The sequence below is a fragment of the Homo sapiens genome, chromosome 5, assembly GCF_000001405.40.
Source record: "Homo sapiens chromosome 5, GRCh38.p14 Primary Assembly".
In the NCBI taxonomy this organism is placed as follows: Eukaryota; Metazoa; Chordata; class Mammalia; order Primates; family Hominidae; genus Homo; species Homo sapiens.
This window is the reverse complement of record NC_000005.10, coordinates 113050094-113065101: the sequence shown is the minus strand read 5'-3', so window position 1 is coordinate 113065101 and position 15008 is coordinate 113050094. Positions and strand designations below refer to the sequence as shown.

The 15008-nt window shown below is 47.9% G+C and overlaps 1 protein-coding gene across 2 annotated transcripts in view; it reads left to right on the top strand.

Annotated features, from left to right (window-relative positions):
* MCC (MCC regulator of Wnt signaling pathway) overlaps nucleotides 1-15008 on the top strand; it is a 466348-nt gene that overhangs the window by 423352 nt on the left and 27988 nt on the right. For both annotated transcript variants that reach the window (NM_001085377.2, NM_002387.3), the window contains 2 exons: nucleotides 935-1118; nucleotides 11143-11377. In NM_001085377.2, coding sequence (NP_001078846.2) covers nucleotides 935-1118; nucleotides 11143-11377 — 419 coding nt within the window. The remainder of the gene's footprint in view (nucleotides 1-934; nucleotides 1119-11142; nucleotides 11378-15008) is intronic.

The following is a 15008-nucleotide window of genomic DNA, read 5'->3' as shown; positions in this document are numbered from 1 at the left end:
ATACAGAGTAGCTTCACTGCCCCAAAAGTTCTCTGGCTCCACCTATTCATTCCTCCCCCAACCCCATCCCCTGGCAACCATTGCTGTTGCTGTTGTTCTTGTTGTTGTTTTGGAGACAGGGTCTTGCTCTGTTACCCAGGCTGTATTTGAACTCCTAAGTTCAAGCAGTCCTCCCACCTCAGCTCAGCCACCCATGATCTTTTCAATATCTCTATAGTTCTGTCTTTTCCAGCACAGTCTTAAATCACAATAGGAATGTGAACATTTTGGGCAGGGACTTCACTGCCTGGTCTGTGCGAGTGCCCACCACACCCTGATGTTCTGCACTAGCCCACTTACCTGGCTCCTGGAGGCATTTGAGTTCACGCCGATTACCAAGCCAAGAGAAGGGTCAGGGGTGGCATCGGTACCTATAATACAGAGCCAATCTAAAGCTCTCGTCTGAACCATTAGTTTTGTCTCTCTTGCCCCCACACAGGGCTCTAACCAAAGCTGTAGACATGTGGAAAGATGGCACAGTTTTGCCCTAGTTTCTCCCTCCCTCATTCACAGGGAAGTGCCAATGCACAGAGGAATGGCCAAATGGTAGACTTGTGGCTGAATGGGAGGAGAAGCCAGGAGCCTGGATCATTAGAAAAATCAGAGCGTGTTAGAGCTGGAAACAGAAATGTGGTGATCCCATTGGTTAACTCCTACACTTGTCCCTGAGGCCAGTGGAGCCCAGAGAAAGAGCAGAGAAATACCTTCCCACATGTAGCGTCTAAGTGATAGTGCCAGGCCCAGAACACAGATCTTCTCTTCGGCTGGGCACTGCCAATTCCCTTCCACAGTGCCACCTCTGCCCTAAGTAACAGAGTTAATTATGCATAGTCCCTCCCAGGCGTGCCTTGTCCAGGCCTATGTTGATTAATCCGTTGGCTTCTCTGCCACATAGGAGACCAGTCGGGGGATGAAAACATCACTCAGATGCTCAAGCGAGCTCATGACTGCCGGAAGACAGCTGAGAACGCTGCCAAGGCCCTGCTCATGAAGCTGGACGGCAGCTGTGGGGGAGCCTTTGCCGTGGCCGGCTGCAGCGTGCAGCCCTGGGAGAGCCTTTCCTCCAACAGCCACACCAGGTAATGCTCAGCCTTCTGCTCTGGGGTGGGCGTGTGTCCACATGGCATCTGTTCACTGGACTTGGTGTGCAGTGACCCAGCTCTTGGGGACTGTGTGGCTTGGGAAAAGGCAGACATGGCTTCTGGCATGCAGCCTGCTCCATCCAAAAAGGAGTCAGAAGATCAGAACAGAAGAGCTAGAAAGTGGCCCTCTCACTTTGCCAATGTGGAAACTGCAGTCGAGATTGGAGAGATTTGCTGTGGAAAGTGGTAGAGATGGAATGCAAACCTACCTTTCTGTCAGATCCATTTTCTCTGCATTGTTCTGTTCTCCATTTCTTTATAAGTCTTCATTTCCAGGAAGCACTTAGGGTAGCCAAGAGCCGTTTGCTCCAAATGGTCCCTCTGGTCCCAAGGCCCAGCCCAGCTCATCCTAGTTCCAGACATCACTCTCCTGTCTTCTTGTGCCTCCATCGTCTATAAGCTCTTCTCAGGCAAGAGCCTCTCCTCTCATCTCTTTTGCCTCATGGAATGATGCCACATTCACAGCACATGCTTACAGGCACTCAGTCATGAACCTGAGGTCAAGTTCACTGTCTGTGAATCTAGGAAATTAAAGTGGGTGCTTGAAAAAGGAAGCTAGGAAGAGAGCGGCGAAGACCTTGCAGAGCATAATTTGCTGAAGTCATTTCATTCTTTGGATGGGAGTGGAGAGTCAGAACAAAACCCTTTCTACTTACCTTCTCATTTCTTGCCACCAAAGCCCTAAAAACACGAATGCCTTCCCTTTATTTACCAGTCCTCAGTTTAGAAGACACTTTGTTAGAGATTCTTACTTAATTGCCAAATCGTGAAAGACTTGGAAGGGTAACTTACTCCATTTTCACAGGTTAGGAAACCTTGGCTCAGAGATAATGTCAGTGACCTGCCTGGTGATAAGAGGGAAACCTGGATGGGAACCCGGGATCTTAGCATCGAGCATATTGTTCTTCCCACATTGGATCTCATGACATAACAAAACAGTGTCTACTTGCAGACTAAGTGACCAGAACTGCATAAAGATAGATTGACTGTTGAGAGCCAGAGGAGAAATACTGATGCTTTCTTGGTGCTGGAAAGCAACTTAATGTTCCCCTCTCTCTTTCTCCCCTGGTGGGACCCGCCATCTACCTTAGCGCTTCCATTTACCTCTACTGGCCCAGGTGTCCCAGGAGAGGGAACATGCCCAGTAATGCACTCAGCCAGGTGCCCACAAACAAAAGGGACTTGATTCTTCTTTACTTCAGCAACAATTGTCTCATTCAGTGAAGCACAGATTATAATTTTTTTCATAAAACCATATTCTACTGTGTAAACACAGAAAGCAGATGCTCTTCTTAATGACTCTTCCAGATGTGTATAATCTATAATTTGTGTGTTTATTTAGTATAGAAATGTAGTTCTCATGTTGTCAGTGATGCTGTGTTGTTTTATTAGTGAACATAAGAGTTTGCTTGACAGGAAATGTGTGCTGTTTCAGTAGCTTATGAGGTTTGTGCTACGGATCATTTGCTCAAACCTCCCTACCCCCAAAAAGAATGTTGTGGTTTTATTCTGAATCAGAGACAAATTTAGAACCAGTCAGGAGGGAGAACAATTTTATCACCATCTATTTAGCTTTTGAATATTTGTTAGAAGTACTTGAACTTACAGGTTAGCCTTGATTTTGAGACTGTTTTCTTAGAGAAATTTAATTTGGGATCCTGTTTTTCTGCAGATTGAGATAAATTCAAAACACAGAGTCATTGTTTCCAAGGATAACCTCACCAAAGAATGGTTCTTAAATTAATTTCAGTCTCAAATGGATCTTCCCATCAAAGTACAGAGGTCTTTAGCTCCAATGTCACCCAATTCTCCTTAAAAAATCACTTTTACCCTCCCGCCCAAATCAGAGCAGCTCCGAGGATGGAAGAACCACACACGAGGCATTCATTTGTCACTCCACATTCTTAGAACCTGATGCAATTAGACTGCTTTATGTTAAACGTGGGTTTAGAATAAAGTCCCAAAGCACCAGACCCCTTTCATAATTATGATAATTATAGTAATTTTGTTTGTAAATCTTGCCATTCTGGCTCAGACATTCCCCCTTGTCAAGTTTATGAAAATAAAGAAAAGGATCTTTCTGAGTTGGAGCTTTATGTGGCCCAGCAAATCTCCTTTCCCCCCGCTGTAACCACCCAGCTTCAAGAGGTCTAATCAGAGTGTCCATCAACTGCCCCTCAAGGGTTCAGGAAAGAAACGCTGAGTATTGTGCCTCCAGCGGCATTTCTGGCAGCCCATAGGCAGCTCCTAACGACAGGAGGGTTAATGGTTTTAGAGAGGAGCAGCAGAGGGGTAGTTAACCAGCAAGGAGAATAAAAGTGATAGCCAACCCTCAGTTGACTGTTGGCAGGTGCCCAGGGTCGGTGCCACTTCATTTTTGAAAAATATAGCCATGGCCTCATCAGAAAGTATAATAGTCTTATGGACAGAGTGACTAGGTTGATTGCCTGGATGGCTTTATCAACATATCATGACAAAGAGGCACAAGGACTAAAATGTTAGGAAGTGGAAATAGGAATCCTTGGTCAAGCCCACCCTCTGTGGCAGGCCTCACAGTTCAGCTCCTTCTGTGCAGCGTAGTCATCGATCTCAATCCACAAAGGAACTGTGGCCAAGACAGGATCGGCCACAGCAAGTCTGTACTCTCAGAGACTGAAATTGAGTCCCTTGTCTCAGCACCAGGTGGGGACCCTGGAGAGCTGTGAGAATGGTGGTTGCAGCCTTGCCGTGAGCCTCTAGGTACCTCCAGGTAGCCAGGGTGCTGCCTGTGTGGCCACTCACTCTGGGGTGTAATCCCCAAGTTGGACTGGACAGCAGCAGAGCTCAAGAGATGCCTAGCTCTCACTCTTTGAACTAGTCTGGATTAAGGTAAAGTTTCATTGGGGCAGAAAAAATGGTTGAGGAGAGTGAAATCATGTCCATTGAAAGGGTGAATTTTTTGAAACAGCCACCTAGTTAGAACAGGCATCAGTAAGCTTCAGGGAATGAGAGTCAGACTAGATCTGGCTGAAACAGTCATCTTTACTGAGGAGAGGTGCTTTTCCATCTGTGTGTCAGGAGAGTCTATCCAAAGTCCTTGAGACAAACGCTTACTGGTGTTAGTGAGCTCTAGAGACCAGCCCCGACACATCCTTGACATGACAGCATTATGATCAGTCCTCCTGCTCAAATGTCCTCATCACTTACCTTTTAGGTTCTATGAGAACAAGGTATAGACATGGAATGCTTTTTATGGTTTTTTTTCTAGTGAGATCTAACTTCTTGATTTCAAAAGAACTGTATGTTTGTTGTAAAACTAAGCAATTAAAATGCCAGCATTGCAAAATGCATAGGATGGTAAAGTTCTCCATTCTAGGACTCTCACTGGAAAGGACATTGGACTGACCCCACTCATTCAGATAAATTTCAAATGCTCAGCAAAACAGATGCCCACCCCCAGGGCACTTTCCTTCTAAAAATGAGCTGCTAGGCCGGGCGCAGTGACTCACACCTGTAATCCCAGCACTTTGGGAGGCTGAGGCGGGCAGATCATGAGGTCAGGAGTTTGAGACCACCCTGGACAACATAGTGAAATCCTGTTGCTATTAAAAATACAAAATTTAGCCAGGCATGGTGGTACATGCCTGTAGTCCCAGCTACTCAGGAGGCTGAGGCAGGAGAATTGCTTGAACCCAGGAGGCGGAGGCTGTGGTGAGCCAAATCATGCTATTGCACTCCAGTGTGGGCAACAGAGTGAGACTCTGTCTCAAACAAACAAACAAACAAACAAACAAAAAGAGCTGCTCCTTGATGGAAATGAGATCTCAGCTAGGGCCAGGTAAGATGTTGATGAAAACTTCAGGAAAATGTCATCACGGATTTTCAAGGCAAAAGAAATGAAATGTCCTTCTAGCCTTCCACCAAGGCAAGCTGAGGAGGCTATGAAAAATGAATTTTTCTTCTAATGAGCAGGCTGGGGGACTGTCTTGAGGACAGAGGTGGGGCATGGTGGAGAGGGATAGAAGAGAGGATATTTGACGTCGATAGCTGGTTTGAACAGCTTCTCCTATAGTGGACAGGGTAGGTGGAGAGTGGGTCGGCCCGAACCGTCCCGAACCAGCCAGCCCCGCATTCCCACCAGGCTACAGGCCTGCTGTGTATGCTTTGTGCTGGAAGAGCTGCTGGCAATGAACAGATGCAGAGGAAAGCCAGCGTGACGGGAGCTCCAGCAGAGCATCACGGAAAGGAGAAACCCACACATCCTAGACTAGCTCCTCAAGAAGCCAGAGCAAGACACACATGTGTGGCGAGGGTTTTTGTCATTAGCCTTCCCCCACAGTCGCTCTCAGAGAACACAGACAGGCTCCTGTTCTGGAGAGGAGGAATAATGCAGCCACAGAAAGTGATTGATTCCCCCTTGACAACTGAGATCATCCAGCATTCCAAGCTGGGAGAATTAATGGATGACTTAACCCTTGCCCAGCAGCCAGCAGCAGGCCCTTGGGAGACCGCCAGCGCCTTTGTCTGTGAGGCCAGAGAAAAGGCCAGTGGCTTCCCCTCCCCTACCATTGTCATAATCATATTCCGCAGTGAAACGTTAAGAGCTCAAAGCAGAATTGTAATTAACCTCGCCTGATCTGTTCCCCGCTGCTGTCCTGGAAGCAGGAGAAGGGAAGCCGGAGGGGCTGTGAGGTTTATCTTGAAATTAAACTTTCTCCACTAAAAGCATTTTAAAGCTCTGTGCTTCCAACAGGGTAAGATCTGTGGACTGAGATCTTTTGTTATTTTTTTTTTTTATTTCCTTCCTCTTTGAAAACTATACTCATAGCAAGGTGGGTGAAACAAAAGCCTTCCCTGCCTGCCATGGATGAGGCTCCGGGCCCTAAGGGTGGCAGCGCCTGTCAGTCTCTGCCTGCCTGCGTTCGTGTTAGGGCTAGGTGATTTCTCAAGTCCATTCAACCACTGGCAGCTTTCGTTCTCCCTGGGATGGAGGGATTCTGGATGACCTGCTGGTGGCCAATAGCTCAGGGCATCTCTGAGTCTGGTGTTAGGTGTTGTGGGGCTGTTGGCAAAGCCATCAGGAAAGTGGCCACCTTCTCTCTTACTCCCACAGGACAGGTGCTGTGTGGCAGCACCAGCTGCCTGCTTCAGGGCCTGCCGTATCCTTTCCACAACTTAGTGAGGCAGGAACCCTTAGTATTCCTATTTCCTGCAGCCCAGAAACATTGGGTAATTTACTCTGGGCCATAAAGCAAGGAAGTGGCAGAGGAGGAACATTTATCCAGGTTTGACTGACATCAGAGACCTGCTCGTAGACCCTGACACCCACCAGGGCAGCCAGGAGCATTGTGGCCTCTACCTAGAAAACCTAGGAGCATCCAGTCACCTCACAGGCTCCTGAGCAAATGCCCACTTAGCCTGAGGGGGAGACCAGTGCTTCTCACACCTAAGCGTGCATCAGAGTCACCTAGAGGGTATATTAAAACACAGATTGCTGGGCTCCACCTCCAGAGTTCCTGACTGTGGAGGTCTTGACAGCAGGCCCCGGAATGTGCATTTCTAACAAGTCCCCAGGTGCTGCTGATGCGGCCAGCCCGGGACCCCTCTTGGAAAACTGCTGGGGTGGACCAGTCCTGCTAAATGGAAAATCTGCCAAAATAGTATCACTTCAGTTCCTGCAGGGTAATTAGAGAATGCTAGCTTTTACCACTCTTTGAATTTTGTGATTTTTATTTTAAATGAAAGTCAACAAAAAGTGTTTCAAGTATAAATTTATATTTCCCAAAAAGTAGTCTGAAGAAAATATACCTCAGTGTCTTGTGGGTGGTAGACGCACAGCTGTTGGTTATTCTTTGTTTTTCTATAGGTTTGAAAGTTTTCAAAATAATTTTTAATGAAAGGAAAGACTAGAGGTGTAAGTAAACCCCACACCCTGTGTCCCAGGTTTACAAGGAAGGATTTCATTCCTGAAACCTCCCAAGTAACTGGAAGAGAAGTGCTGCTGTCTGCCAGCGCCACGCTGTCTAAACATGTCGAGGCTGTGAGCACATCTCCACCCTCAGCCCTGTCTGTAGAATGCTTTGCAAACAGTGCCAGTACTTGAGTTTGCTCTAATTTTGTCGCGCGTTCGCCTGTGGAACATTAGATGTCTGTCCCTCCACATCAGTGTTGATGATTTGTGAAGGTGAGCTCCTGAGCTCTACTTGGGGGTTTTGTACGAGGCATGCCTGCCGCTGAGCAGGTTGCAGGCAGACAGGCCTTCGCTGAGATGCTGAGGGTCCTTTGGATGCGTCCTCTGATGCACAGCCGGGGTCCTCAGTGCCCTCTGCTGTGGGCGCGCTTTGCTCTCTTTGCAGTTCCCTTGAGCTGCCTCATTTCACTGTGGAATAGCCCGTGGTGTTCCAGCTGCAGGATGTTGCTGCTTCTCCCCTCTCATTTTTAAAATACAGCTTGAGAAAACATAATGCTGATGATCAGTAGTCATTTTTATCTTTCTCCCTGCCTTCCCTGCTCCCACCTTGCTCCAAGCTGCTACCATCTCTCCCTGGAATTGTTGCTGTAGCTCCCAAGGTGCACCCCTGCCTCTGCCCTGGCCTCCCTGCATCTCTACTCATCCTAGAGGCCAGATGGATCCTGTTGTAACAATAAAGCAGACCACATCCCTCCCTGTTAAAACCCCCAATGGCCTCCATCCTAATCCTAGAGAAAAAGACACAGCCCTTATAAAATGCTGCATGACCTGGCACCCAGCCCCTCCCACGCACTCCCTCTCTGACCACTTCTCCTTCTTTCTCTCCCCTGCCTGACTGCTTCAGTCACCATCTCGTTCTGCTGGCCGCACTCCCTGCCTAGATTGCATTTACTGTGTCCTGCAAACATCCACGTAGCTCCCTCTCTCGCCTCCCTTAGGTCCACCCTGATGTCACTGGATCACACAGGCCTTCCCTGCAGCTCAATCACAAATAATAACCTCATGCCCACTCTGCATTCCCCACGCCTCTTCCCTGCTTCATTTTTCACCATCTCATGGACTGTGTATTTCACTTCCTGGCCTACTCTATTAGAATATGAGTTCCCTGAGGGCAGGGATTTTTCCAGGACCCCATAGTAGGCACTCCAATATTTCTTGAATAAATGAATGATGACTTCTGCATTTATTGAGTGCTTACTATGTGCTGGGCACTGTTGTAAACATTTCTATTTTTTTTTTACTTTTATTTTAAGTTCAGGGGTACATGTGGACGGTTGTTACATAGGTAAACTCATGTCATGGAGGTTTGTTGTATAAATTATTTTGTCACCCAGGTATTAAGCTTCGTATGCATTAGTCATTTTTTCCGATCCTCTCCCTTCTGCTATTCTGTACCCTCAAGTAGGCCCATTGTTTGTTGTTCCCCTCTTTGTGTTCATGTGTTCTCATCATTTAGCTCCAACTTATAAGTAAGAACATGTGGTATTTGGTTTTCTGTTCCCACATTAGTTTGCTAAGGATAATGGCCTCCCGCTTCATCCATGTTTCTGCAAATGACATGACCTCATTCTTTTTTTATGGCTACATAGTATTCGTGGTATATATGTGCCACATTTTCTCTATCTAGTCTACCACTGATGGGCATTTAGGTTGATTCCATGTCTTTGCTATTACAAACACTTCTAATTTTACCTCATTTATTCCTTACCCTGACTTTATGAAGCAGGTACTATGATTACCTTCATTTTAGAGATGAGAAGACAGGGAATATTCAAAGTATGTAAGACGCTTGGGTCACACGTAAAGGTAGCACTTTGCTCTTAGGGCATTGCAGAGAATCAGAACCAATAGGAGGTGGGTCTATATGGAGACATCTATACCTAGATAGAAAGATCAAGATCGATCTCTTGATATAGATTCTAGTAAATCGCAAACAGTGATTTATTTTAAGGAATTGGCCCATTTGATAATGGAGCTGGCAAATCTGAAGTCTGCAGGTCAGGCTAGAGACCCAGGGAAGAGTTGATGTTGCCATCCTGAGTCTGAAAGCTGTCTGGAGGAAGAATTTTTTCCCTTTTGGGGGACCTGTCTTTCCCCTTAAGGCCTCTCTGATTAGACGAGGTTCACTCACTGTATGGAAACAGTCTCCCTGTAGTCTCTTGATTTTAATGGTAATCACATGTAACAAACACCTTCGCAGCAATGCCTAATCTGGTGGTTGACCAAGCAACTGCGCACATAGCCCAGCCCAGCTGACGTGGGAACTTACTGGGCATAGCCTCTGAAGAGATGGTGTTTAATGGTCAGGCTGATCTAGCTTACCTTATCTCCAAGGGACTTCCCACCCGTCCTGATGGTACAGAGGGAGTGAGACGCAGCCCCAAAGGGTTTCTAGTGCTCAGGAGTTTCCCATTCTAGAAGGGGTTCTCTGACTTGAAGACCACCCCAAGCCCTAGGGTAGCCTCTTCCTCCTGTGAACAGCAAAGCTCCAGCCACCATCTCTCTTCAGCTTTTCTCTCCCCGGAAGCCTTGTCTTCGTAGCAATGTGTCATGTACAAGAGTGGGCCTGCCCTCACTCATGTCTAGGCTGTGGGGACTACAGCTACTGAGTTGGGGTCCTGGCTCTTACCCTTTTGCAGTGTGAGATGAGGAGGGCAGGCCTGGGTTTGTGGCATCTGGCGGCCTGTGGAGATCACTCGTGGCCCCTGGTATAGCTTCTAGCTACAGGATTCTGGGGACAAGGACAGGGCTGTGGGACGAGGCTGCGGCCCAAGTCTAGTTGCACCTCTTTCCAGTCGCATGACTCGGCTGACCACTTGATGTCTCTGAGCTTCACTTTCCAAATCTGTAGCAACAGACATGACAACACAGCCTGGCCTGTTTTGATGCAAGGTCAGTAGGCCTCTGCTTTTTCCTCTGCCATCTTCAGACCAGTTCCATGAGGGGCGAGTCACCCCTAGGGAGGCCCAGTGCAAGTGCAGAGAAACTGCTGTCGGTGCACACTGGCCTCAGAGTCCTCAACCGAGTGGAGTGGGCCTTATTCGGAGGCACGGGGAGCAGCCTGCCCACTGCTGGAAAAGGCCAGAGCCCACTTGAAAGCCGTGGCCTCCGTTTTCCAGTGGTGCTCCCCCTTTCATGGTGGTTTGGTCCCCTAGAAACCTTCCTGGGCTGCCACAGGCCTGGGGTTCAGCTGGGGGCTCCCTGCCTGGTCACCATTCACCTTGGGCTGCCAAGGGCCCTTGGGCCAGCCCGAGTCCCTATAGTGAACACTATACTCAGACTATCCTGTGAAGGCCAGGGGGTACCCTACTCCCAAAGTGGTTATTGCTGTGTTGTGCACCCCTGTGTTTTTCATGGTACATGTTGCAAACAACAGAAGTAAACACAGCAAAACAGCCCCCTTCGGTGCTGCTCCGCAGGGACGGCTGCCACAGCCTGGGACACCTGCGTACACGTGCGAGGGTGTGACACGCATCTGTGGATCATGCCATAGGAGTTTTGTGCTTCAACTTTTGTTGCCTTAAATATACCTTTTTTAAGTTCTGACCACATGAGTATCTTTTTTATTACATATATAATATCTTTTAACCTATGTCCTCAAAATATCACCACCATTGTCGATATCACTATAATTTCACTTATTACAATTATCACTGTAATGTCCACATGATTTCCCTCCTTTTGATAGGTGTGATAAATCACTAAACTGTATTTTAGATTATGTTCCTTTGTATGTGTATCTTTTTGCTTCTGTGGAATTATTTCCTTAGAAATTCATTTCTAGAGTCCACAGTGTTGCGTCAAGGAGTGTAAGCATTTGTTATTCTTCATACTTAATTCTTTCCTAAAAGGTGGTATCATTTTCCTATGCTGTGAAGAAAACTGATTTTTGGATTACCATCTAAATAACACTGGGGAGAGGGAATGTGGAGAAGAGTGAGGAGGAAAGATCTATTTGCCATGACTTGGAATAACACAGGGTGGTGGGTCTTTGTTTTTCTTCTTTCTCAGCACAACCAGCTCCACAGCCAGTAGTTGCGACACCGAGTTCACTAAAGAAGACGAGCAGAGGCTGAAGGATTATATCCAGCAGCTCAAGAATGACAGGGCTGCGGTCAAGCTGACCATGCTGGAGCTGGAAAGCATCCACATCGATCCTCTCAGCTATGACGTCAAGCCTCGGGGAGACAGCCAGAGGCTGGATCTGGAAAACGCAGTGCTTATGCAGGAGCTCATGGCCATGAAGGTATGTGGTGGGTGGGTCCCATGTGCTAGGCTGCCACCAGGAGGAAATCTAAACAACCTCTGAAAGCAGGTCCAGCAGATAAGGAGGAATCAACCCCTCCTGCCCAGAGAAGAGCTAGACCCTTGTTTATAGACAGAGCTGGTTTCACTATGTCTGGGGGTCACTTGGGCTGCGTGTTTCTGGACAGGGGAGTTGAATTTCTAAGGGATTTCTCAGGGTGTCCCAGCCCAACTTTGGAGCCCTTCATCCTCTAAGAGAAGCCAGGTCAGACCTCTGCAGGGTGGAGCCTCTGTCCATCTAAATTGACCCCTAATCTCAAGAATGCTTGGAAATATGTCTTGGGTTGCTGATGCTGATGTTAACTCCGGCAGGGGGAGAACAGGGTGAGGCCAGTTGTAGAGTTTGGCCGAGAGCCCTAGTTTCCTGACACCCTGTACCTTTGGTGCAATGTCGAGCCTGCTCAGACCATAGTGCCCTCCAGTGAAGGTGTACAGTGCTGTTGAGGTCAGTGTTTCAGTGGATCTGAAACACTGGGCCCTTCAGCTGCTAGTGGAGATACCTACCTGCTGGTATTTCTACAGAAGGGAGCTTTCTTGGAAAGCTGGTGTCCCCTACTGGGAAGTAGTTAAACCGCCATACCTACAACAAGACATCACTTTGCCTGTTTCTGGTGTGGAATGCCAGGCACCAGCCCTTCACCTGGTACCTGCTCTTACAAGGCAGCTGTGGTATAAATAAGACCATATCTGATATTTGTCCTTGGTTTTGGGACAGAGTTTGAGAAACCCTTGGAGTTTCTTGCTGAGCTAGGGGTGTCTTTGTGATGCTGATGAGGTGACTTATGGTGGGCCCTAGACAGCTTCAGAATGTGGGCTGGTCACCAGAAGGACCAGGCGTGTGTTGGAGGATTGGGACTTTCAGCCACCTGACCTCCGGGGAGGGGAAGAGAGCCAGAGATTGAGTTTAGGACCGGTCAGGAACTGGAGTCTAGCAAGCCAGAGCAGGTCGTGGCAGTGCAGAGTTAATGGCTCCTATTAGGATCAGTACTGTCCGCAGCAGGGAGAAAAACAACCCCCTGGTCGCACCATCTCTGGAGAGTGGAGGGGAGCTGGCAACAGCAGCCATCCTGACACCCTCAGGGGTGACTCACTCAGCACAGCCCTGTCCTTGGGAGCTTCTTGAGCTAGAATCTGGGCGAAGTTTGGGAAGACACTAGGCAGTGGTAACAGATACAGGAATCTTACCTCCCACCCCCACCCCCATGATTTCCAAACTGGCTCATCTTCATCAAGCCACGCAGCTCCCATCCTGACCTCTCTGTAGAGAATCCTCATGCTGCTTTGGCTGATTCCACCTCTCATTGCTTATGAGCTAGACTTGGGTCCATCATTGTAGCGACTTTTCCCCCAACTGGGAGCCCTGTTTGCAGATGCTTGCAGCCTGTGGCACGAGCTATGAGGCCACCCTTCCATCATTTGTTCCAAACATTGTGTTTCTTTTGGCCAAAGACTAAGGATTTCCTTTTTAAAATTGGCCAACGTGGGGTGATAAATTTACTGGTATTCTACCTAAGAAAGACATTTTTGTTGGAATAAAAGTTCTAATACTCCCTTTGCCACTTGAAAATAAAATGTGTACTGATCTTAGAAATTTTCTAAAAAAGTAGAAAAGCTGGGAGGAGAACAATCCATAATATCATGATCCAGGGCAGCCATTGCTAGCATTCTGGCTTGGTTCCCTATGACTTTCTTGAAGGCTAAATATCAGAGCCGTCCCCTTTTCCTCTGAGTCCCTCCCAGTCTGCTTGGGGATGTGTGCTCACCCATACCAAATCCATTATCCAGCAGGTTACGTTGGATTTTCACCAGTTTCTAGGATCCAACTGCTGAGAAATTCAAATTTCTGTTTTTGTAATACCTTTTCATTTCTAGATGATGTGCTTGGTTCCTTTTCAAATCCATTCTTCTTTTTGTTGTTGTTTGTTTGTTTGTTTGTTGTTTTGAAACAGGGTCTCACTGTGTTACCCAGGCTGGAGTGCAGTGACACAGTCATGGCTCACTATAGCCTCGCCCTTGGGCTGGAAGTGATCCTCCTGCCTCAGCCTCCCGAGTAGCCGGGACTACAGGAATGCACTGCCCTACCCAGCTGACTTTTTAAGTTTATTTTTTTGTAGAAACAGGGTCTCACTTTGTTGCCCAGGCCAGTCTCAAACTCCTGGGCTCAAGTCATCCACCCAGGTCAACCTCCCAAAGTGCTGGGATTACAGATGTGAGGCACCAGGCCTGGCCTTCTCTTCCTTTTTGAACATCTTATCCCTTCATTATGACTCCTGTATCACTTTGTTTTAAATCTTTATTTTCTAGTTTTGCACATTGTTATTTCTGCTTCTTGTAAATGCTGACTCTTACTTTTTGCATCCGCTCATTCTTCGTCAGTGCTGATTCATTCTCATTTCCTCGGTGGTGGGGGTAGGGGGAGAGAATGCAAGCACCAGCTCATCCTCTGTGGAAACTGTCTTCCGTGGGGCCCTGAGGATCCTGGGTTGCAGATGTCCCTACAGAGTGGTTCTATGTTTAGATCTGTTGGGACTCATCAGTTTCTGAGGTTTAGGACTAGTTGTTATTAAGTTCTTGGCTCTGGATTCCTGTACCACACCTACACATGACACAAGCTTGAGGTTTAATTCCTGGAAAGAGATTTTTCTTTCTTTTCCCACACAGAGCCTGAGAGATGACAAGTTTACTTGTCACATCTCCAGAAAGGAAGTTTCCTAGTGTCTTATGGGCAGCCTGATGAGAATCCTGCTCCCGTAGGGGTCTGAGCTGTGGCTCTCTGCCTCAGAGGCCACGGCCCTGGCCTTGGGTAATGTTAAGCCCCCGGGTGGAGGGCCTGAGGACAGTCTGACGCCTTGCTGGCCAGCACCTGCCCTCCTTGCCGTTCTCTCTGGCAGAGTTCCCTCTTCATTTCTGGCACCCATAGGTTTCTCTTTCCCTCTTTCAAGCCTGCACTTATATGTTTGTTCTGGAAGCGACCATCACATTAGCTCAGTATGCAGTGTTGCCAGAACCTTCAGAATCCTGCTTCCAATGGCAAAAGATCCGAAGGCTCTGGGCGTGGCACACCTTTCATTCTGGCTTTTATGTCTGATATTTAGGGTAAAGAAGGTTGGCATGTTCTGAGTAGTTTACTGAGCATATTGACTAATGTCCCTTTCGAGGGGTGTCCTCTACCCATTTCCCCACATTTGAGAGTGAAAACATCTACCCCCTAGTCCAACTTACCCAGGAGAGTGCACCAGGCCTGTGGTTTATTACCTCAGAAGGGTGACTTCGGGGGTTGTGAGAATCTGAACTAACCTCAGGTGAGTCCATCTCACGGTGGGCTGGGAAGGCTGGACCTGGTGGCCATGGGCTGGTGGAGTTACTCTCCAGCAGAAGTGCGGGGACAAGAGTCATGCGTGGGCTCACCTTGAAAGGGAGGGAGGCAGTATAGCTCTGAACCAGACAGCTTGGCTGCAATCTGTGGCTCCACAGCTTACCCAGTAGCCATAAGCAGGGGGATTTCCTTCTGTGTGCCTCAGTTTCCCATCTGTCAATGGAGATAGTTGCAATACCTAACCCAGGTTGGGAAG